Genomic DNA, 22,613 nt, shown 5'->3' with positions numbered 1-22,613 from the left:
CAACATCCAGTCATCCCTCGATTAAAACAAGAGGTGCATTTCTGGAGATTTTGGTTTATATTATAATCATGCAAAAAAAAAAAACTTGGGTTTTTAATGTACCAAGGAGTTAGGCTCAGATAATCACAGAACAGGTATTCCCCATTGTTCAGACCAGGCCTCGAATTATCCGGCTGTCCTACGCTGAGCACCAGTGGCCCACACTTTACCAAACACCTCCCAGGGTGCCCTCCCTGCCAGAGACCACTGTTCCATACACCTTGTCAGGGGCCATCTCACCTGCTGCTGGACTTCCCATGCTATGCGCATACTAACACTTCCGAAGTCATCTCTAGACCCCTCCATGTGTCCAGCCCCCTGGGATTGCTCCTCTTGGGAGCTCAACAGGCATCTCCAAACTCACCTTGTGCAAAACAGAGCTCATGTCTTTACTCCCAAATCTGACTCCCAGTCTGTGTTCCCTCTGCTGCCTTAGTGAGTGGCCCCATCACCACCACCAGTCATCCACACTGTGTCCTCAGGGGCCAGAGGGTGCATGGTGTGTACCAGGCACTGAGTAATTTTTGTTGTTGTTGTTTTGTTTTTATTTTTTTATTTTTGAGATGGAGTTTTGCTCTTGTTGCCCAGGCTAGAGTGCAGTGGCACGATCTCGGCTCACTGCAACCTCCACCTTCCGGGTTCAAGCGATTCTCCTGGCTCAGCCTCCCGAGTAGCTGGGATTACAGGTGCCAGCCACCACGTCTGGCTAATTTTTTGTATTTTTAGTAGAGACGGGGTTTCATCATGTTGGCCAGGCTGGTCTTGAACTCCTGACCTCAGATGATCCACCCACCTCGGCCTTCCAAAGTGCTGGGATACAGGCGTGAGCCACTGTGCCTGGCCAAATAATTTTGTTTTGCATGAATGGCAGCATTGACCTGTAAGATGGGTTTGGAGAGACTTGGTTTCTGGAGAGGTTGAGTCAGTCCCTGGGTCTTTGTGTCTTGGGGTTTTGGTTTTATTTTTCAGGAGGCTGTTTAATTCATGTCTCTCTATCAAGCCCTCACTCCATCCCCATCCCAGTGCCTAGCATAGCTTTGCACATGTGTTCTGTGGAGGACATTGCTGTTTTCATTATTACGTGCTGGGAATGTGAGGGTGGGAGGTCTGGGAGGCCCTTTTCAGCATCTCCTCTGCCTTCAGGCCCCTCAGATCTATATGGTCTACAGGGACCCTGGCCATTCTTACTTGCCAGGAGGGAGGACAGAGGGGGCCACGGTAAGACAAGTGGTTGCTCTGGGGTCCTGCAGCCAGGCTGGTGGGAGCCTATTCTCCCGGGTCGGTCCTGTGTCACCAAGACAATGAGAGAAAACACTTGCATAGCACTTGCTGTGTGCCGGATGAACTCAGTCACTCTTCACAAAACCCAGTGAGGAAGGGCCTACAATTGTACTAACTTCACAGGTGAGGAAACTGCAGCACACTTCCAAGGTCACGCAGCAAGGCATTGATGGAGAAGACAGGATTTGGGGATTTTCCAGAGATCTTTCTATGATTGATTTCTAATTTAGCTCCATCGTGGTCAGAGAACATTCTCTAGAGGACTTTAATCCTTTTAAATTTATTGAGACTTGCTTTAGAGCTCAGCATATGGTCTGTCCTGGTAACTGTTCTATGTGGAGTTGCACTGAATGTGTTTCTGCTGTTGGTGGTGCAGTGTTCTATAAGGGTCCATTGGGGCCAGTAGGTTGATCATGTTATTCAAGTCTTCTCTATCCTTACTGATTTTCTACTTGTTCCATCAATTATTGAGAGGAGTTTTGAAATCTCACCCTGTAATTGCAGGAAATTTATCCGTTTCTCTTCAATTCTATCCATTTTTGCCTCATGCATGTTGAAGCTTTGTAATTAGGCGCACAAATGTTTAGGACTCTTATGTCCTCTAGGTGAATTGACCCATGTCATTATATAATGTCTCTCCTTATTCCTGGTAACATTCTGTGTTCTGAAGTTAACATTTTTTGATACTAATATAGGCACTCTGGCTTTCTGAGGCTTAATGTTTGCATAGCATATCTTTTCCCCATTCTTTTAGTCTCGGCCCATCTAGATTATTATATTTAAAGAGCATTCCTTTTCTTTTCTTTTAAATAGAGATAGGGTCTCACTTTGTTGCCCAGGCAGGTTTCCAACTCCTGGGCTCAAGTGATTCTCCCATCTTGGCCTCCCAAAGTGCTGGGATTACAGCTATGAGCCACCACACCTGACCAAGTGTGTGGTGAGTATTGGGGAGTGCAATGGTGTGATCTCAGCTCACTGCAACCTCCACCTCCTGGGTTCAGGTGGTTCTCCTGCCTCAGCCTCCCAAGCAGCTGGGACTACAGGTTCATGCCACCACACCCAGCTAATTTTTATATTTTTAGTAGAGGCAGGGTTTCACCATGTTGGCAAGGCTGGTCTCAAACTCCTGACCTCAAGTGATCCACCTGCCTCTGCCTCCCAAAGTGCTGGGATTACAGGCATGAGCCACCATGCCCAGCCCCAAGTGTGTTTCTTATAAACAGTGTATACTTAGGCCTTGGAGCAAGGTTTGGCCAATTTTTTCTGCATTGGGCCAGATAGTAAAATTTTTTTTTTTTTGAGATGGAGTTTTGACCTGTTGCCTAGGCTGGAGTGCAGTGGTGCAACAGCACGATCTCAGCTCACTGCAACCTCTGCCTCCCAGGTTCAAGCAATTCTCCTGCCTCAGCCTCCCAAGTAGCTGGGACTACAAGCGCACGCCAGCACGCCTGGCTAATTTTTTGTATTTTAGTAGAGATGGGGTTTCACCATGTTGCCCAGGCTGGTCTTGAACTCTGGAGCTCAGGCAATCCACCCGCCTCAGACTCCCAAAGTGCTGGGATTACAGGTGTGAGCCACCGTGTCTGGCCAGTAATTTTTCTTTTAAATTTTATTTATATGTAATAGTTGTACATATTTTTGGGAGTACAGGTGATTTTTTTTTTTTTTTTTTGAGATGGAGTCTTGTTCTGTCACTCAGACTGGAGTGCAGTAGTGTGATCACAGGTCACTGCAGCCTCAACCTCCCAGGCTCAAGTGATCCTCCCACTTTAGCCTCCTGTGTATCTGGGATCACAGGTGTGCGACGCCACACCCGGCTAAATTTTTTTATTTTTGGTAGAGACGAAGTCTCACTGTGTTGCCCAGGCTGGTCTCAAACTCTTGGGCTCAAGCAGTCCTCCCACCTCAGCATCCTGAAATGCTGGGATCAGGGTAATTGGGAAATCCATCACCTCAAACATTTATGTTTTCTCTAAGTAAAGATGCTTTTAGGCCGGGCGCGGTGGCTCACGCCTGTAAGCCCAGCACTTTGGGAGGCCGAGGTGGGCGGATCACGAGGTCAGAGGATCGAGACCGTCCTGGCTAACATGGTGAAACCCTGTCTCTACTAAAAGATACAAAAAATTAGCCGGGTGCGGTGGCGGGTGCCTGTAGTCCCAGCTACTCCGGAGGCTGAGGCAGGAGAATGGCGCGAACCTGGGAGGCGGAGCTTGCAGTGAGCCGAGATCGCCCCACTGCATTCCAGCCTGGGCGACAGAGCAAGACTCCATCTCAAAAAAAAAAAAAAAAAAAGAAAAGAAAAAAAGAAAAAAAAAGATGTTTTTAAATATTTATCTTTATTTTTATTTTTTTAAAGACAGGATCTTGCTCTGTCTCTAGGCTGGAGTGCTGTGTGTTTATAGCTCCCTACAGCCTCAAACTCCTGGGCTCAAGGGATCTTCCTGCCTCCGCCTACTGAGTAGCTAGGACTACGTGCCTGGCTAATTTTTTATTATTTTCATTTTTTTTTTTTTGTAGAGAGTTCTTACTTTGTTGCCCAGGCTGGTCTTGAACTCCTGGCCTCAAGCGATCTTCCTGCCTCAGCCTCCCAAAGTGCCGCGATTACAGGCATGAGCCACTGCTCTGGCCCTAAGTAAATATTTTGTACTTTGTTGATCATATGGTCTTTGTTCCAGCTACTCAATCTTCCATTGTAGTATAGAAGCTGTTGTAGATGATACATTAAATGAATGAGTGTGGCTGTGTTCCAATAAAACTTTATTTATGGATACTGACACTGAAATTTGAATTTTATATAAGTCATGTGTCATAAAATATTCCTTTTTTTTTTTTTTGAGGCAATATCTCACTCTGTTGCCCAGGCTGGAGTACAGTGGTACAATCTTGGCTCACTGCAGCCTCAACCTCCCAGGCTTAAGGAATCCTCCCACCTCAGCCTCTTGAGTAGCTGGAACCACAGGCACGTGCCACCCAGTCTGGCTAACTTTTTGTAGAGATAGGGTTTCGCCATGTTGCCCAGGCTAGTCTCAATTCCTGGGCTCAAGCGATCCACCCACCTTGGCCTCCCAAAGTGCTCGGATTATAGGTGTGAACCACTGCGCCCAGCCTGTTCTTCTGATTTCATTTTAACCATTTAAAAATGTGAAAACTGGCCGGGCGTGGTGGCTCATGCCTGTAATCCTAGCACTTTGGGAGGCCGATGCGGGCGGATTGCCTGAGCTCAGGGGTTCTAGACCTACCTGGGCAACAAGGTGAAACCCCATCTCTACTAAAATACAAAAAATTAGCCAGGCGTGGCAGTGTGCGCCTGTAGTTCCAGCTACTCGGGAGGCTGAGGCAGGAGAATTGCTTGAACCTGGGAGGCAGAGGTTGCAGTAAGCTGAGATCGTGCCACTGCACTCCAACCTGGGCAACAGAGAGAGACTCTGTCTCCAAATAAATAAATACATACATACATACATACATACATACATACACATACATGTATATATACATATACATATATGTATATGTAAAAGCCATTCTTAGCTTATGGGGCTGTACAAAAATAGACAGCAGGTCAGATTTGGCCTGTGGGCCATAGTTAGCCAGCCGCTGGTTCAAACCAATTACCCTTAATGTAATTACTGATATGGTTAGGTTTAAATCTACCAACCTGCTATTTGTCCCATCTGTTCTTTGTTCCCCTTTTCCTCTTTTTCTACCTTTAGGGGGTTACTGGGACTTTTCTTTTCTTTTCTTTTTGAGACAGGGTCTCACTCTGTCACCCACGCTGGAGTGCAGTGGCACGAACACGACTCCTGGGCTCAAGCCATCCTCCTGCCTCAGCCTCCTGTGTAGCTAGGACCATAGGTGCGCTCTACCATGCCCAGCTAATTTTTTAAATTTTTTGTAGAGACCGGATCTCACTTCATTGCCCAGGCTGGTCTCAAACTCCTGAGCTCAAGCAATTTGCCCACCTTGGCCTCCCAAAGTGATGGAATTACAGCGTGAGCCACTGTGCCTGGCCTGTTGGGATTTTCAAGATTCTGCTTATCTCTACTCTTGACTTGTTAACTGTACTTCTTTGTTTTATTTTTCTTAGTGGTTTTCTGGGTTTGCAATATGGATCTTTAATTTATTACAAAATACTTTTTTTTTTTTTTTTTGAGACGGAGTCTCGCTCTGTCCCCCAGGCTGGAGTGCAGTGGCGCGATCTCGGCTCACTGCAAGCTCCGCCTCCCGGGTTCATGCCATTCTTCTGCCTCAGCCTCCCGAGTAGCTGGGACCACAGGCGCCCGCTACCACGCCTGGCTAATTTTTTTGTATTTTTAGTAGAGACGGGGTTTCACCATGTTAGCCAGGATGGTCTCGATCTCCTGACCTCGTGATCCTCCTGCCTCGGCCTCCCAAAGTGCTGGGATTACAGGCGTAAACCACCGCACCCAGCCACAAAATACTTTCAAGTAACATTATACCATTTCACGTAAGATATAAGACCTTGACAACATGATATGTTCCTCTCACCCTCCCGTCCTTTGAGCTCTGCATATCTTATGAACCCCACAATACATTAGGGGTGTGTGTGTGTGTGTGTGTGTGTGTTAGATAGTAAATGCTGGGTGTGGTGCTCACGCCTGTAATCCCAACACTTTGGGAGGCCGAGGCTGGAGGATTCCTTGAACCCAGGCGTCCAACACCAGCCTGGCCAACATAGCGAGACCTCATCTCTACAAAAACTAAGAAACATTAGCCAGGCATGGTGATGCATGCCTGTGGTCCCAGCTCCGTGGGAGGCTGAGGTGGGAGAATTGCTTGGGTCCAGGAGGTTGAGGCTGCAGTGAGCTGTGTTCACGCCTCTCCACCCTAGAGCAGGACCCTGTCTCAAAAACAAAACCAAACCACTAAATGCTTCGTAAGGAAATTTGAAAGTGAGGAATATATCTTTTCTATTTACCCACAAATCTACCATTTGAAGAGGGTGCCCTTCACCCCTTCTGGTACATCCACGTTTCTATCTGGTGTTGTGTTTCTTTTACCTGCAGAACTTCCTTTAATATTTCTTGCTGTGCGGGTCTGCTGGCAATTAATTCTCCCAGCTTTGGTTTTGTATGAAAAATGTGTTAGTGTGTCTTCTTTGAGGGATATTTTTGCCTGCTGTGGAATTCTAGGTTGACAGTTTGTTTTGATTTTTCTTTCAGCATGTTGCATCATCTTTGGGCTTGCACACTCTCTGACAAGAAGTCGACTGGCACTGTTATCTTTGATTCTCTGAATGTAATATGTTTCCCCCCTTCTAGCTGCTTTTAAGATGTTTCTCTTTATTGCTGGTTTTCAGCAATTGATTATAATGTGTCTTGGTGCGTTTTATAAATATGTGTGTTTAGCCTACCTGGGGTTTATGGAGCTTACATCTGCAAGTTTATGGTTTTCATCAAATTTGAAAAGTTGTAGGCCATTACTTCATCAGACTTTTTTTTGGTTATCCCTTTCTCTCCTCTCTTTCTGGAACTCCAGTCACATAGGTAAAGCCACTTATTTCTCAGGCCATTGAGGCTCTGTGCTCATTTTCATCACTTTTTCCTTTCTGTGCTTTATTTTGGATAGATTCTATTGCAGTTCTTCAAATTCTCTAATCTTTTTTTTTTTTTTTTTGAGATGGAGTTCCACTCTTGTTGCCCAGGCTGGAGTGCAGTGGCGTGATCTCAGCTCACAGCAACCTCCACCTCCTGGGATCAAGCAGTTGTCCTGTCTCAGCCTCCCAAGTAGCTGGGATTACAGGCGTGCACCACCATGCTCGGCTAATTTTGTATTTTTAGTAGAGATGGGGTTTCTCCATGTTGGTCAGGCTGGTCTAGAACCCCTGAGCTCAGGCAATCCGCCCCCATCGGCCTCCGAAAGTGCTAGAATTACAGGCCTGAGCCACTGTGCCTGGCTTTTTTTTTTTTTTTTTTGAGACAAAGTCTTACTCTGTTGCCCAGGCTGGAGTGCGGTGGCACAATCTGAGCTCACTGCAACCTCTACCTCCCAGGTTCAGGCAATTCTCCTGCCTCAGCCTCCTGAGTAACTGGGATTACAGGCATGCACCACCACACTTGGCTAATTTTTGTATTTCTAGTAGAGAAGGGTTTTCGCCATGTTAGTCAGGCTGGTCGCAAACTCCTGAACTCAGGTTATCCTCCCTCCTTGGCCTCCCAAAGTGCTGGGATTACAGGCGTGAGCCACCGCGCCCAGCCTTTTTTTTTTTTTTTAAAGATAAGGTCTCAGCCTGGCCAACGTGGCAAAACCCCATCTCTACAAAAAATACAAAAATTATCTGGGCATGGTGGCGGGTGCCTGTAATCCCAGCTATTCAGGAGGCTGAGGCAGGAGAATCGCTTGAACCCGGGAAGCGGAGGTTGCAGTGAGTCGAGATCGCGCCATTGCACTCCAGCTTCAGCTTGGGACAGAGCGAGACTCTATCTCAAAAATAAATAAATAAATAAAATAAAAAAATAACGATAAGGTCTCACTTAGTCATTCAGACTAGAGTGCAGTGACGACCAGGCTCAGTGTAGACTTAAACTTCTGGCCTCAAGTGATCCTCCCACCTCAGCCTCTCAAGTTGCTGGGACTGTAGGCAGGCACCACCACACCCATCTAATTTTTTTATTTTTCTGTAGAGACAGGGTCTGGCTATGTTGACCAGGCTTATCTCAAAGTCCCAGCCTCAAGTGATCCTCCTGCCTCGGCCTCCCAGTGTGCTAGGATTACAGGCATGAGCTACTGTGCCTGGCCCAAATTCCCTCATCTTTTCTGCTGCCGGTGTCTAATCTGTGTAATCCCTTTCAGTAAAATTTTTCTTTCAGATATGTGTATATCATTCTCTAAAAGTTCTGTTCACTTCTTTTTATATCTTCTGTTCCTTTCATTACGTTCATGTTTTTCTTTATACTCTTGAGCATTCTGAATGTATTTATAATAGCTGTTTTCATGTCCTTGTCTGCTAATTCCGTCATCATCTATGTCAATTCTGGGTCTGTTTCAATTGAGTGATTTTTCTCTTGGTTATAGGTCACATTTTCCTGCACCTTTGTTTACCTGGTCCTTTTTTTTTGAGGCAAGAGTCTTGCTTTGTTGCCCAGGCCAGAGTGCAGTGGTGATCTCGGTTCACTGCGACCTCCACCTCCTGGATTCCAACGATTCTCGTGCCTCAGCCTCCCAAGTAGCTGGGATCACAGGCGTGTGCTATCACACCCAGCTAATTTTTGTATTTTTAGTAGAGACGGGGTATTGCCATGTTGGCCAGGTTGTCCTTGAACTCCTGGCCTCAAGCAATCCGCCCACCTCAGCCTCCTAAAATGCTGGGATTACAGGTGTGAGCCACCGTGCCCAACCTGGTATTTTTTTAAAAAATTATGTAATAGGCCGGGCACAGTGGCTCATGCCTGTAATCCCAGCACCTTGGGTGGGCGAGGTGGGCAGGTCACCTGAGGTCAGGAGTTCAAGGCCAACCTGCCAACGTGGTGAAACCTCATCTCTACTAAAAATACAAACATTAGTCAGGCGTGCTGGCAGGTGCCTGTAATCCCAACTACTCAGGAAGCTGAGGCGGGAGAATCACTTGAACCCGGGAGTGGCCAAGATCACACCACTGCACTCCAGCCTGGGTGACAGAGTGAGACTCTGTCTCAAGAAAAAAAAAAAAATTACATAACAGACATTGTTTACATTGCTGAATATATTTTTTTACAGAGTATTTATAAACTTTTTCTGGAATCTAGTTAGGTTACTTGTGAATTACTTTGATACTTCTAGGCCTGTTTTTAAGCTTTTTTAGTGCAGCTTTAGCATTGCCTTTATTCTAGGGCTAACTTAATCCTATTTCTAGTATGTTACACTTTTGGGTCTCTACTGAATGTCTCATGTATTCAATGAAATCTTTCTACTCTGGCTGCAGGGAGCTCAAAAGACTCTCAGCCCTGTGTCAACTCTAAGAATTGTTTTCTCCTTGAAAGTTGCTCTTGTCCAGCCCCACAGAGTTTCACCCCATGCATGCACAGATTGATATTCAGCCAAAGACTCAAGGGGACCACCGGTTTCTGAATCCTCCCTCTCTTTGCAGCTCCCTCCTCTCAGGCACTCTATCCCCCAAATTCCAGCCATGTTGGCCTGCCTGATCACCAGTCTCCGTCTCTGCAACTCAGCAGGATTGCTGGGCTGTTTGGGCTTCCCTTCCTATAAATTAAATCCAGCCAAGCAGCCTGGACAATAAGACTCATTTTGTTTCTCTTCTCAGGGATCACAGTTCTATGATGTCTCTTGTCCTATGTTTTAAATAGTTTCCTGGCCGGGCGTGGTCGCTCACTCCTGTAATCCCAGCACTTTGGGAGGCTGAGGCAGGTGGATCACCTGAGGTCAGGAGTTCGAGACCAGCCTGGCCAACATGGTGAAACCCCGTCTCTGCTAAAAATACAAAAATTAGCCGGGCGTGATGGTGGGCACCTGTAATCTCAGCTACTTGGGAGGCTGAGGCAGGAGAATCACTTGAACCCCAAAGGTAGAGGTTGCAGTGAGCTGAGATCGTGCCACTGCACTCCATCCTGGCTGACAAAGCAAGATCTGTCTCAAAAAAAAAAAAAAAAGAAAAAAGTTTCCTGTATTCTATCCAGCTCTTTAGCTGTTTATGGTGGGAGGGTATTTCCAGACCATCTTACTCTTTTATATCTGGAAGTAGAAGTCTCCGGATGCAATATTTACAACCAGGAAGTCTGGCTTCAGAATCCACACTCCCCGCTTCTGCACCCAGCAGTCACTGAGTCTTCCAGATGCTGGGGTCACTTGGGAGGGGCACCACCAATGGGGGGCATGGCCACGGGGGCAGGTCAGCAGGGGTGACTCCAGCCCGTGACTCACCCCTCCCACCCTTCAGGTGGGCCTTCACCTTGATCATCATCTCCTCCTACACGGCCAACCTGGCCGCCTTCCTCACCGTGCAGCGCATGGAGGTGCCTGTGGAGTCGGCCGATGACCTGGCAGATCAGACCAACATCGAGTATGGCACCATCCACGCCGGCTCCACCATGACCTTCTTCCAGGTGGGGCCACCAGAACCTCTCAGGCGTGGTGTTGGGATCCCTGCCATGCAAAGCAGCTCAGGATGGGTCTGGGCAGGGTCTCCTGGGTCAGAGGGACTGATTGTCAGTGACAGCCTGGAGGCTGGGGAGCAGAAAACACACATGTGCTGTCATGGGGCTCGCAGCTGGCTGGCTAGGGAACTGGGGAATGAGGGCAGGGAGGCATATGTGGTATCAAATGTCAATGTCATATGGGCCAAATGGGATCAAGGAGGCTGCTGGAAGGGTCGGGACCAGGAATATGGGCTGACAGAGAGAAGGGAAGGCCCTTCAAGGTGAAAAGTGCTTGATCTTTTGTATTTTGGGGTGGTGGGAAGGAAAGAAGAGGAAAGCAAGCTTGGCAGGGAGGTCCTAGTGGTCTAAAGGAGGCCTGAGTTGGGCAGCGGCCACCGGCTGGAGGGTTAAGGGGAAGGAGGTGGAGGTGCACTCACCGGGCCCCCCAGGTGGGTGGTGGGCACAGTGGCTGTGGGGATGACTTGGACCTGGCCTGGACAGTTTGTCCATCTCCTCTCTCTCCTCTACCTTTGGCTCTGTCTTCCTTTGATCACCTTGCATTCTCCTGGGTTGAGGGAGACTTCCTGGAGGATGGGAAGGGCTCGGGGAAAGGAAGCGGCTGGAAAGACCCTCCCATCTTCCCCTTGTGATCCTCCTGCCCAGAATTCACGGTACCAAACGTACCAGCGCATGTGGAACTACATGCAGTCGAAGCAGCCCAGCGTGTTCGTCAAGAGCACAGAAGAGGGCATTGCCCGCGTCCTCAACTCCCGCTACGCCTTCCTGCTCGAGTCCACCATGAACGAATACCACCGGCGCCTCAACTGCAACCTCACCCAGATCGGGGGACTCCTCGACACCAAGGGCTACGGCATTGGCATGCCGCTGGGTACGGCACAGCACGGTGTGGAACACAGCAGGGCCGTGGGCATCCAAAACCACCTGTGAGCAGGCCCAGGACCGGGCCAGGCACCCCCGAGGCAGGCTGGGTGTGTTGCATGTGGCCTCCTGGCTGTATGGTCTTGGGCAGGCGACATCACCGTCCTGAGCCTCTGTACCCCCAACCTGCAAAACCAGGCCTAGCAGCAATCCAGCCCTCCCAGAGCTGTTGGGAGAATTCAGTGAGACTGTGTATACAATTCAGTATATGTGGGTGGTGGGGCTTGCTGTCTTCCCCCAAGGGCCCTGTGGGGGTGAGGACCTGGTCTTGTTTCCTATTTCTTGGAAAAATCCTATAGCCTGGCTCAGAGCAGGTGCTTGAAAAATGCTTGTAAGATGGATGGGAAGGATGGAATGATCTGGTAGGGAGACTTGTATGTGCCTATTTATATTTCAGGACAAGTTTGGTGTTTTGTTTTTTTTTTTTTTTTTTTTGAGACGGAGTCTTGCTCTGTCGCCCGCCTTGGCCTCCCAAAGTGTTGGGATTACAGGTATGAGCCACCTCGCATGGCCCAGGACATGTTTTTCCAGGACTCAGTGGTGGAACTCACGACCAAATTGTCACCAAATTTTGGCATTTTGGCTTTTAAAATCATTTATGTACTGATGACACCTGTATTAGTTATCTATTACTGCATAGCAAATTGCCCCAGATCTTAGCAGCTTTGTAGGTGAGTCGGTGCCAGGGAGGCAGTGTAGCTTGGTGCTTGGAGGACAGGCTCAGGAGTCACACCGACCTGGATTCAAATCCCAGTTCCGGCTGGCCACTGTGGTTTATGCCTATGATTCCAGTGCTTTGGGAGGCCAAGCCGGAAGGATCACTTGAACCTAAGAGTTTTGAGACCAGCTTGGGCAATATAGCAAGACCCTGTCTTTACAAAAAATTAAAAAATTAGCCAGGTGTGGTATGCACCTGTAGTCTCAGCTACAGGCTGAAGTAGGAGGATCGCTTGAGCCCAGGAAGTGGAGGTGGCAGTGAACAATGATCATGCCACTGTATGCCAGCCTGGGTAACCAAGTGAGATTCTGTCAAAAGAAAGGAAGAAATCTCAGTTTCCTCCCTGACTCAGTGCACAGTCTTAAGCAAGTGTATCACTTTCGTCATTCAGAAACACTTGCCTCAGGTGGGATACCTGTCCCACAGGATCATCATAAGACCTGAATAAACCCAGGGTCTGGCACACAGTTGGTGCCTGGTAGATATTAATCACTTTCATCTGCCCGTGTCTCTGGTTCTGTGGTAGTTGGTCGGGAAGTATCTTAGTCAATGAAGAAATAAGTATAGAATAGGGTGTGTGGGGTGTTGAAGCCCAAGGATGGCTTAAGGGCAGGATGTGAGGTTGGGGAGGAGAGGTGGTCCAGGGAGAGGTGTGGATGGGGATTCGTCTGGTGTCCAACTGCATGCCAAGTCCCGCACTGGATGCAGACGAAAGATGATAAACACATAGCCATATAATACAGTGTTAGGTGGTGACAGCTGCTCCAAAGTAAATTAAAGGGAAGACACTGACAGGGAGTGGGGCGCTTGGTGCCATTTTAAATAAAGTCATCAGAATAGACTCCCTGGGGAGCCAGCATGTGGGCAGAGACCTGGATGAAGTGCGGAGAGGGACATTCCAGGCAGAGGCAAAGGTCCTAAGACAGGACTGTGTGTGATGAATTTGGGGAGCAGCCAGGAGGCTGATGAGGCTGGAGCTGAGAGCCGTGGGGGTGAGGGTGTCTGAGAGTGGCCGAGGGGAGGAGCTTGCAACAGGAAGCCATGGAGAGTCCTGAGCACAGGAAAGGTATGGCCTCTGACTCTTCCTAACACTGTCTCTCTGGCTGCTGTGTTGAGAGGAGACTGGGCTGGGGGTGAGGAGAGGCTGCAGGGAAGACCCTGGGCACGTGGTAGAGGCGGGGGAAGGCCGTGGTGAGGGCACAGTTTGGGGTTTGGGGCGGTCAGGGCTGCAGGGCCCGATGGCTGGTCCAGCCCCTCGTGTGCCTGCCCAGGCTCCCCGTTCCGGGATGAGATCACACTGGCCATCCTGCAGCTTCAGGAGAACAACCGGCTGGAGATCCTGAAGCGCAAGTGGTGGGAGGGGGGCCGGTGCCCCAAGGAGGAGGACCATCGAGCTAAAGGTCAGTTCCCGCGTATGGTGTCCCCTTCCCATAGCCCCCTCCCAGCCCCCTTCCCACACAGCCCCAACTCCCTTTGCCCCCCAACTCCCTTCGCCCTCCAGGTTTGGGCATGGAGAACATTGGTGGCATTTTTATCGTGCTCATCTGTGGCCTCATCATTGCTGTCTTCGTGGCGGTCATGGAATTCATATGGTCCACACGGAGGTCAGCTGAGTCCGAGGAGGTGAGGAGGCTGGGGGTGGGGGTGGGCAGGAACAGGGACCCCCAGGGGCTGAGGTGCGTGAAGATTGTGGCATTGGGAGCCATACCTGGAGGGTGGTGGGGATCGCGAGAAGGGGGCAGAGGAATGCAGGAGGTGGGGAAGTAAGAGAGCTGATGGGGCCAGAGAATCAGCGCGTGAGGAAGAACAGGAGGGAAAGTAGGCACAGGGAGCAATGAGGATGCAGGGAGAGGAGGTGAGGGACAGGATGTGGGGAGCCACAGAGGCAGAAAAGCAAGAAGAAATAAGAAGAGAAACAGGGCCAAGTGCAGTGGCTCACACCTGTAATCCCAGCACTTTGGGAGGCCGAGGCTGGCGGATCACCTGAGGTCAGGAGTTCAAGATCAGCCTGGCCAACATGGTGAAACCCCATCTCTACTAAAAATACAAAAATTAGCCGGGCATGGTGGTGCACACCTGTAATCCCAGCTACTCGGGAGGCTGAGATGGGAGGATCGCTTGAACCCGGGAGGTGGAGATTGCAGTAAGCTGAGATTGCACCACTGCACTCCAGCCTGGGTGACAGAGGGAACCAGAAGAGGACACAGCCCTGGACTGGTCCCACACTGTGTTCAGGAGGGCTGCTTCCATGTCCCTGGGGGCCGCCCAGCCACACCCCTGCATTTCCAGACCCATTCGTGCTCTTGCACCCCTGGACTGCTGGTTCCCTGCTTCCCCTCTCTCTGTCAGCCTCCAGCCCTTCCTCCCCCTCCTCACATCCAGCGGCTGACCTTACATCTACTCCCCAGACCCCAGCTCTGCATCCAGCTGCCTGCCAGTGTTCTGCACTTGGCCCAAGGACTCCTCTGAAGGAGCCGTCCATGCTGCTAGTAAAGGTGCCCTCCACCCGTGTCCAGGTTGCCTTCTCAAGGACATCCCTCCGGCAAGTCTGTCCTTTCCTCCTGCAGCATCAGTTGTCCTCTCTTTATTGGATTCAGGCCACCAACGTACAAATATGCTGTCATTTCTCCAGTCTTAAACCCTCTCCTGACCTCACTTTCCCTCCCAGCCACCGCCCACTTTCTTCCCTTCTCTTTACAGCCTTGGCAGCAGTGGGGGGTCTCCCTGATGCTTCCAGTTTCTTCTTTCCTCCCATTTCCTCTTGCCCCCCACTCCAGTCTGGCATCGGTCCCTGCCACTCCACTGAAGCCACTCTTGTCACCAGCAACTTCCATGTCTGAAATTCCCGGTCTCAGGCCTCATGTATATGAGGTAGCAGTGGGCTTCGGCACAGCCAGTCACTCTCAATCCTCAAAGCCCCTTCTTCCCCTTCTCCCACTTCTCCGGTCACTCCTTCCCAGGCTCCCTCGTTGGGTTTCTCTTTCTCCCCAGGCTCTGTTTGTTGTGGGGCTCCAGGGCTCAGTCCTTAGACTGCTTCTCTTCTCGGTCTTTCTCCACTACTTGAATGATCCCACCAGCCAAATGGCTCTTAAGACCCACTATGTGCTGGTGATTCTTGTGTTAGTTATCTATTGCTATCATAACAAATGACCTTAACAGCTTTTAAAAAGCCAGCTTCCATTGGTTCACAGTTTCTGTGGGTCCAGAGCCTCGGAGCAGCTTAGCTGGATGTTTCTGGCTGCCATGGGTCTCTGATGAGGTCATAGTCATGTTTTTTGGCCAGACTGCTGTGGTCTGAAGGCTCAACAAAGGGTGGAGGGTTCCGTTCTAAGATGGCTCACTGTCCCAAATGTCCCCATGGGATTTTAGTTTCTGGAGGTGGCCAAGTGACAACATGGAGACCAATTTCATTGAAAGATGATTTTTGCCCAGGTGTGGTGGCTCACGCCTGTAATCCAAGCACTTTGGGAGGCTGAGGAGGGCAGATCACATGAGGCCAGGAGTTCAAGACCAGCATGGCCAACATGGTGAAACCCTGTCTCTACTGAAAACACAAAAATTAGCCAGATATGGTGGTGGACACCTGTAGTCCCAACTACTCAGGAGGCTGAGACAGGAGAATTACTTGAATCTGGGAGGTGGAGGTTGCAGTGAGCCGAGATTGCACCACTGCCCTCCAGCCTGGGTGACAGAGTGAGACTGTCTCAAAAAGAAACAGAAAGAAAAATGATTTTTATTCTTTAACATTTCCCAGGAGAAGGGGAAACAGCTTACGATTCACCAGTTTGGATAATGTCAGTGGACTCTGGGCTATAGGGGCTGTCCCTACTTATCTGGTACCTGGCCCCGGGTTGATTTAGGTCAGGAAGAATATTGGCTTGGTATGTGAGAGTTAGGTAAAGGGGGAGGTTGGGGGTATAGATTGGTTGGTTTGCACATGAAAGGCAGCTGAGCCCTCTGCTATCTCTAAGGCTTGGCTAGTTCTGGGAGGGGTAGTCTCTCCCCAGCCTGCAAGATGTTTAAAGTGTCAAAACATCCTAAGACACAGAAAATAAAAAACATGATGAATACACTCACATGGCAGTTGGCAGGAGGCCTCAGTTCCTCAGACAAGGACCTCTCCAAGGACTGCTTGAGTGTCCTCACACCATGGCAGCTGAGATCCCCCAGGGCGAGTGATCAGAGAGAGCAAGGCGGAAGCAGAATGTGCAATGGCTGAAACTTATTCTGTTGGTCACACAGACCAGCTCTGACACAGTGTCAGAGGGGATTACACAGGGGCGTGGACGCGGGAGGTGGGATCTTGAAGGCTGCCTGCCTTAACCCACAAATATGTGTCTCCCCTGAAGCCAAGGTCTGCAACTTCAGCTCCACACTTGGTATCTCCACTTGGATATCTGATAGGTGTGCACGTGATGCGATGTGTCCAACATTGGGCTTCTGCCCACCTGTGAGGCAATTTGGTCCTTCCAGTTGCTCGGGCCAAAATATTGGAGCTTTCTTTCACTATTCTCTCTCTTCCATGCCCCGTATCTGATCTCTTAGCAGATCCTATTGGCTCCACCTTCAGAATATATCCAGAATCCAGACCTTTCTCAGGTCGCTCTGGTCCAGCCATCCCTATCTCCTGCCCGGGTTATTGTCATAGCTTCCTCCATGAGCTCCCTGCTCTTGCCTTGGCCTCCCTACAATCTGTTCTCAACACAGAGTGATCCTATGAAAACACAGCACTCCTCTACCTAAAGCTCCCCAGTGATTCCCGTCTGACTCTCATTCTGATTTTCAGAATGAAAGCCAAAAATCCTTCCAGTGGTTTATGGGCCTTACCAGAGCTGGCCGCCACTGCTCCTTTGACCTCATTTTTCTGTCTTCCCTGTGCACGCCCCCCTCCAGCCATGCTGACCTGCTTGCAGTGCCTCAGACGTGCCAAGTCACTCCCACCTGGGCATTTCGGCCCTGCCCGGTTATCTGTCCAGCAGGCTGGCTTCCCAGGTCTCCAGTGGCTCACCCTGTCTTTATTTAAGGATCCTTCTCTCAGTGAGGTCTTCCTTGACTGTCCTGTCTCAGAATTCATCGTCACTCCCTACCCATACACCTTAGGCCTCTTCCCGATTTTCTTTCTTTCCAAAGCACTCACCACGCCTAACACACTACATACATGTCTGTTATCTTCTGTCTCTGCACACTTGAGCATAACCTCCACGAGGGCTGGGACTTCTGTCTGTTTCCTTCTCTGCCATATCCCCAGTGCTCAGAACAGTGCCGGGCACACAGCAGGCCACAGGTAAATATGCCTTGCAATAATGAACGCATGGATGAGGGGCAGAAGATGGGAAATCAGGAAGGAAGAACTGGAGAAAATTTAGAGACAGTGAAAAGACCAGAGGAAAGAGAGGAGCTTAGGTGGAAGGTGAAGGGCAGATTCAGGAACAAACGCAGAGTAGAATGGAGACATTGAAGATAAGTGGGGAGAGGTGGAGAGGGGAGGCAGAAAACACGGGGGAGATAAAGGGAAGAGAAGTGGGAAGGGAAGCGAGGGCAGAAGGAAGAAAGACCCGGGCGAGGAAAGGAGGAGGAGGAGTGGGATGTGGAGAGGGGCTGGGGGAGGCGGGAGGCGGACTGCGCCGGGACGGTGACCGCCCGCGCCACCCCCAGGTGTCGGTGTGCCAGGAGATGCTGCAGGAGCTGCGCCACGCCGTTTCTTGCCGCAAGACGTCGCGTTCCCGCCGGCGCCGACGCCCGGGCGGCCCGAGCCGGGCCCTGCTGTCACTGCGCGCGGTCCGCGAGATGCGCCTCAGCAACGGCAAGCTCTACTCGGCCGGCGCGGGCGGGGATGCGGGCAGCGCGCACGGGGGCCCGCAGCGCCTCCTGGACGACCCGGGGCCCCCCAGCGGAGCCCGACCCGCCGCCCCCACCCCCTGCACCCACGTGCGCGTCTGCCAGGAGTGCCGGCGCATCCAGGCGCTGCGGGCCTCGGGGGCCGGCGCGCCTCCGCGTGGCCTGGGCGTCCCCGCCGAAGCCACCAGCCCGCCCCGGCCGCGGCCTGGCCCCGCCGGCCCCCGGGAGCTGGCGGAGCACGAGTGACCACGGGCGGGGCTGTGCGGGCGCCCGGACTGACCGAAGGGACGGGGCCCGCCCCAGGCCCCAGCAGTCTCCGCTCCCGCAGCGGGCGCGGGACAGGACTTGTGCGCCGGCGCCCCGGACGCCGCGATTTTGCCTTTGGTTCCCCGCGAAGTCCGAGGCCTGGCTCTGGAGCCCGCCTGCGCCCCCCAGTGGACTCGCGAGAGGGTGCCGCGGGCGAGAAGGGCGCAGGAACCGAGGACTCCAGGGGCTGGGGACTTCGGGGGCGGCTCTGGGAAGCGGAAAGCAGTCAGCGGAGAGGACCCCATTCTGGGACTGCTCAGGCTCCCCAAGACTTGACGCAGCCCCCCACGCTTCTGGAGGTGGGGAGGGCCTCTGGACAGATGGGTGTCCCCTGGTGCCCCTCCACTCTTCTCTTCCTCTCTTTTTTGGGGGGAGAAACCTCGGAATTTCTATGAGACCTCCCCCAGGGAGGGGGTCAGTTGGGCCCCCATCCCTCCCCTTGCCACATCGCAGCCCCTGTTGGAATAAAAAAAAGAACAAAACCCCAGAACTGGGGATACCGTCTCTCATTTCCTGGGGGTGTGAGGGCTTTGGAGGCTTGGGTCCCCGGGGCACCTGCTGAGAATCAGAGTGAGCCTCGATGGTTACTTCCATGCTCTCTCCACCCTCAGCCCTGCCTACAGGCTGCAGGCCAGCCCGGGTCCCAGCAGCTGGCCCCTCTCCACTGACCTTCTCTCAGGACAGAGGGAGGCTGCGACAGAGACCCTGAGACAGATGGAGAGATGCAGGGATCTGGAGACGCGGAGACACCGGAAGCGGAGACACAGAAAGACAGAAAACAGATGGGGCTGGGGGAGGGGAGGGCCAGTGAGCTGTTGAGTGTGGCCGTGCCTGGGGTGGCGAGTGTGTGCCTGGGCCGGGGTGATTCAGTGACGTTGTGATCGTGTGTGCACGCATCTGCGAGGCCATCTTCAACTGTCTGTGGCTGTGATCCCGTGTTTCTGTTGAAAATGTACCTCCCCAACCCCCAAGAGAGGAAGTGAGGAATCCCAGTAGACTGGGGGGTGGGTGGGCGGGCAGGGGTGGGAGAGGCTGAAGGGCTGATGGCGCAGGAGAAAGGTGGGTCCGCCTTCTGTCCCCGCCCTCCCTGCCCCGCCGGAGGTTTCTGTGGAAACTGCAGCTGAGGAAGGACGAGTGAAGGTCACACAGCAAGAGCCAAAACGAGGCCGAGCAGAAAGGGAGAGATGGAGGGATGGCGAGAGACAGAGATGGGGAGAGACAACGAAGGGGGCAGAGTGGGCGGGAGGGGGATGGGGAGAGAGAGCTAGAGGACACAGAGCCGGCGAGACAGGGAGAGAGGCTGGGTGAGGTGAGAGAAGACTGGAGAAAGAATAGAGGGCTGAGACCAGAGGTGAAGCGGGAGGGTAAGATACACCCGGAGTTGGGGTGAGAGACAGGAAGCCATAAAAAACTAAATGGAACCTGGAGGGGACTGGAACGGAAAGGAAAGCCTGACTGGAAAGGTCCCAGAGAGAGCGAGGCTGCGCCCGTTCCTGGGCGGCGGCCCGGGGCTTGGGAGCTGTCCGTTCAGCACCCAGTTGGCCAGCCTGAGCCCAGAGCGCCCGACTTCCCTCCAGGGCCCGCCTGCCCAGCGCAGTCCTGGCAGGCCGGCCACACCCTGGGAGACCCCTCCCCGCACACAGCGCCCCCCGTCGCCACCCGTCCCCTTCTGCGTCTCAGACCCTGGTTGCGTGCCCCTCGGACAGGTGTGGGGGCAGGCACCAGCCTCTCTCTGTTGTCTCGCATCTCTATCTCCACGTCTCTTACACACTCCAATCAATGTCTCTGCCCTTGGGTCGGACTCTTTGTCGAGGTGACTAGAACATGATTACAGACATTTCTGGTTTCTCCCCCTTCTCTGTCCCAATGCCTCGAGGCCAATTCCCTCTGGGGTCTCCCCCATTTCTGAGTCCCCGGTCCCCTACCAGGTTTCTGCTCAGTCTCCCCCTGGCCTTTATCTCTGAGTCTCCCTGGTTTACCAAGCCTGTCTCTGCCTGGCTGTCTACGTCTCTCTGTCTCTGTCACCTTCACTGAACTCTTCCGTTGCTCTGTCTCCGTGTTCTCATCTCTGCATCTGCCAATCTCTGTCTGTCTTTTTCAATCTGTTTGTATCCGCCTCTCTCTGGTTCTGGGCTGCCTGTTTCTCCCTCTGTGTCTCTCCTTCCGCCTCTCACATCTAGCTCCCCTATTCCCCTTTATCCCTGTGACCTTCCCAGGTCTTTCCTTCTCACCGCCCCCCCTACTTCTGCAGAGCCTCACCAGGAGCACGATGCACAGTCATCAGTCTCATCAGGCTCGTGCCTGAGGAGAGAGTGCATGAGGGGGGACGTGAGCTTGTGTCTGAGGTGGGATGGGAAGGGCTCAAGGCCTCCCCCGGCCCAGCTGGAGAGCAAGAGCAGACAGAGCCTAGAATCTCCTGGAATCCAGGCCTCCCCCACCTCCCCAGGCTTCCCCATCTCCCCAGTCCCATTCTCCATGGTCCAGGCCCATGCCTCTAGGCCAAGGTGTCAAGAGAAGGAAAGGAGGATATGTTGATAGGCTCTCCCTCCCCTAGGAAGAGGGCAGAGTTGGGGAGGGGGCGTCTGGGGGTGAGGCATCTGGGTTAAAAGATGTGGCTCCTCCCCCTTTCCCAGTCTCCATGGCAACAGCCCAGTCTGCAGGCCCAACCTCCTTTGCTGCAGAAGCAGCTCCCTGTTACCATGGCAACAAAGGACAGCGAGAAAGATGGGGACGGGTCAGAGGACAGGATTGGGATGGGGCTCTGGGCACTGGGGAAAGCCTCCATTCACTCTCTGGCCTTGTCTCTGTCCATATGCTGTGGCTCTGAATCTCTGTGTTTCTGTGCCTCTCTCTGGCCTTCAGCCTTTCACACATTTCCCTGCACCAGGTCCTCGACCTTCACCCACCCACCCTCATACACCAAGCTCACTCCCTGTCCCTTGCCTGCGTCCCCCACATCTCCTATCCCATAGGTGGAGAGGATACCCACATTCTGAGAAAACTACAAGGTCAAATGCTCTCTGTCTCTCTCTCTCTCTCTTCCCCTTCTACCATCCCCAGGGAGAGTCTGGGGTGTTCCTCATAGAACAAAGTGGTGTTGGAGTGAGTGGGGAGGCCTCAACTTCTTGGGCTCCAGTGGGGTGGCTGATGGGGTGTTGTGTGTCGGCAGCAGGCCTGGGGTGTGGGTGCCGGCTGTGCATCTGTGTGTGTACATATACTGTGACGAGCTCTGTGTGTCATGTGGGTGAGGGCGTTGGGGTGTGTTTGGAGGTGCAACAAAGATGTCTGCGATAGTGCTGCAATAACGTGATGTGTGTATGTGTGGGAGGTGTGTGGGTGTCGCGTGACTTGTGTTTGAATTATTGTGCTATGTGTAAGTGTGTGCACCTTTTTGTCTGTCATTCACAGTTAGCATTGGCAACTTTGCACTGTGGGCCGTTGCTCATGCCCAAACACACTGGGGAGCAGTGTGTGTGAGGATGTGTGCGACATCGTGGGATCATGCAACGATGTCCACAAAGGCTGATGTAGTGTGTCTGGAGGCAGTGTGAGGCCTGTGCGTGTGTGATGGTGCTGAGTGCAGGTGTGTGTTGGTTTATGGGTTGCACGATGTGGGTTTCTATGTGAGATGGTGGGAGGTCAGGTGTGGTAGAGTGTGTGATGTGTGAGTCTGCGATTTTCTGAGTGTCGGTGTTAGTCCGCACAGCACTTTGTGGCTGTGATTATGAGTCTCTTGTGGTGTGATGGGTGTGTAAGGTGTGTGCCCTATGTGTGTTTCACTCTATGTTTGAGACTCTGTGTGTGGTGGGGTGGTGTTGTGTGTGTGAGGGTACATGCTGGCCTATGGTGGAATATGAGTGCAACCCTGTGGTGTGTGCGTGTCCCCAGCATCTGGGCTATCAGTGTGATGGTCCTGTGTAACTGTGACGCTGGGCATTTTCTGGGCCTCCTGGGGCCATCCTCCACCGTGTTGTGTCTCCCGTGTACCCTGTGTGGTTGTGGCTCATTGGATAGCTCAGGCGTAGTGGGGGGGCACCCACAGTGAGGGAATCTCAGGGCTCCTCCCGCCAGCACCCCTCCTCAATTGCAAGGCCTTTCTTGCTCTCTTGTGTTCCCTTCCAACTTCCCCTCCTGCAGGGCCCTCTCCCTGAACAGCACTACCCCCCGCCGTCTCCAGGGTCCCTGGTGCCACACTGCAGTGATTCACCGGGCTTCCCTCCCACCCCGTGTCACTACCCGCCCCCCCTCCCCCAGCGTACCCTTCTCGGTGATGGCACACCCCCACAATGAGAGGATTTCCGGGGTTTTCTTTCCCTGAGCGCCCCTTCTTGGAGGCCCTACTCCATATTGAGGGGGTCTCCAAGTCCCCTATTGCGGAGGTCTCTGGGAATCCCCCCACCCCC

General features: G+C 52.2%; 1 protein-coding gene across 6 annotated transcripts in view, besides 1 other annotated feature; it reads left to right on the top strand.

The window, feature by feature from the left end:
- Nucleotides 1-18,697, top strand: part of GRIK5 (glutamate ionotropic receptor kainate type subunit 5) — a 71,883-nt gene extending 53,186 nt beyond the window's left edge. For 3 of the 6 annotated variants that reach the window (NM_001301030.2, XM_011526865.2, XM_047438705.1), the window contains 5 exons: nucleotides 10,211-10,376; nucleotides 11,073-11,298; nucleotides 13,338-13,466; nucleotides 13,568-13,689; nucleotides 14,475-15,235. In NM_001301030.2, the coding sequence (NP_001287959.1) occupies nucleotides 10,211-10,376; nucleotides 11,073-11,298; nucleotides 13,338-13,466; nucleotides 13,568-13,689; nucleotides 14,475-14,906 (1,075 nt within the window). In that variant the 3' untranslated portion in view covers nucleotides 14,907-15,235. Of the gene's footprint in view, nucleotides 1-10,210; nucleotides 10,377-11,072; nucleotides 11,299-13,337; nucleotides 13,467-13,567; nucleotides 13,690-14,474; nucleotides 15,236-17,721 lie in introns of those variants that run through there. The other 3 variants (NM_002088.5, XM_011526862.3, XR_935810.3) reach the window with 2 other exon arrangements.
- Nucleotides 19,711-19,770: a silencer, noted in NCBI's record as "silent region_10682". NCBI's record gives its function as "represses an Ori minimal core promoter by ATAC-STARR-seq in GM12878 lymphoblastoid cells {active_cell/tissue: GM12878}" and the evidence as "EXISTENCE:reporter gene assay evidence [ECO:0000049][PMID:35858748]".

This window comes from Homo sapiens, chromosome 19, assembly GCF_000001405.40.
Source record: "Homo sapiens chromosome 19, GRCh38.p14 Primary Assembly".
Lineage (NCBI taxonomy): Eukaryota > Metazoa > Chordata > Mammalia > Primates > Hominidae > Homo > Homo sapiens.
This window is presented reverse-complemented; position numbering and strand designations above follow the sequence as displayed.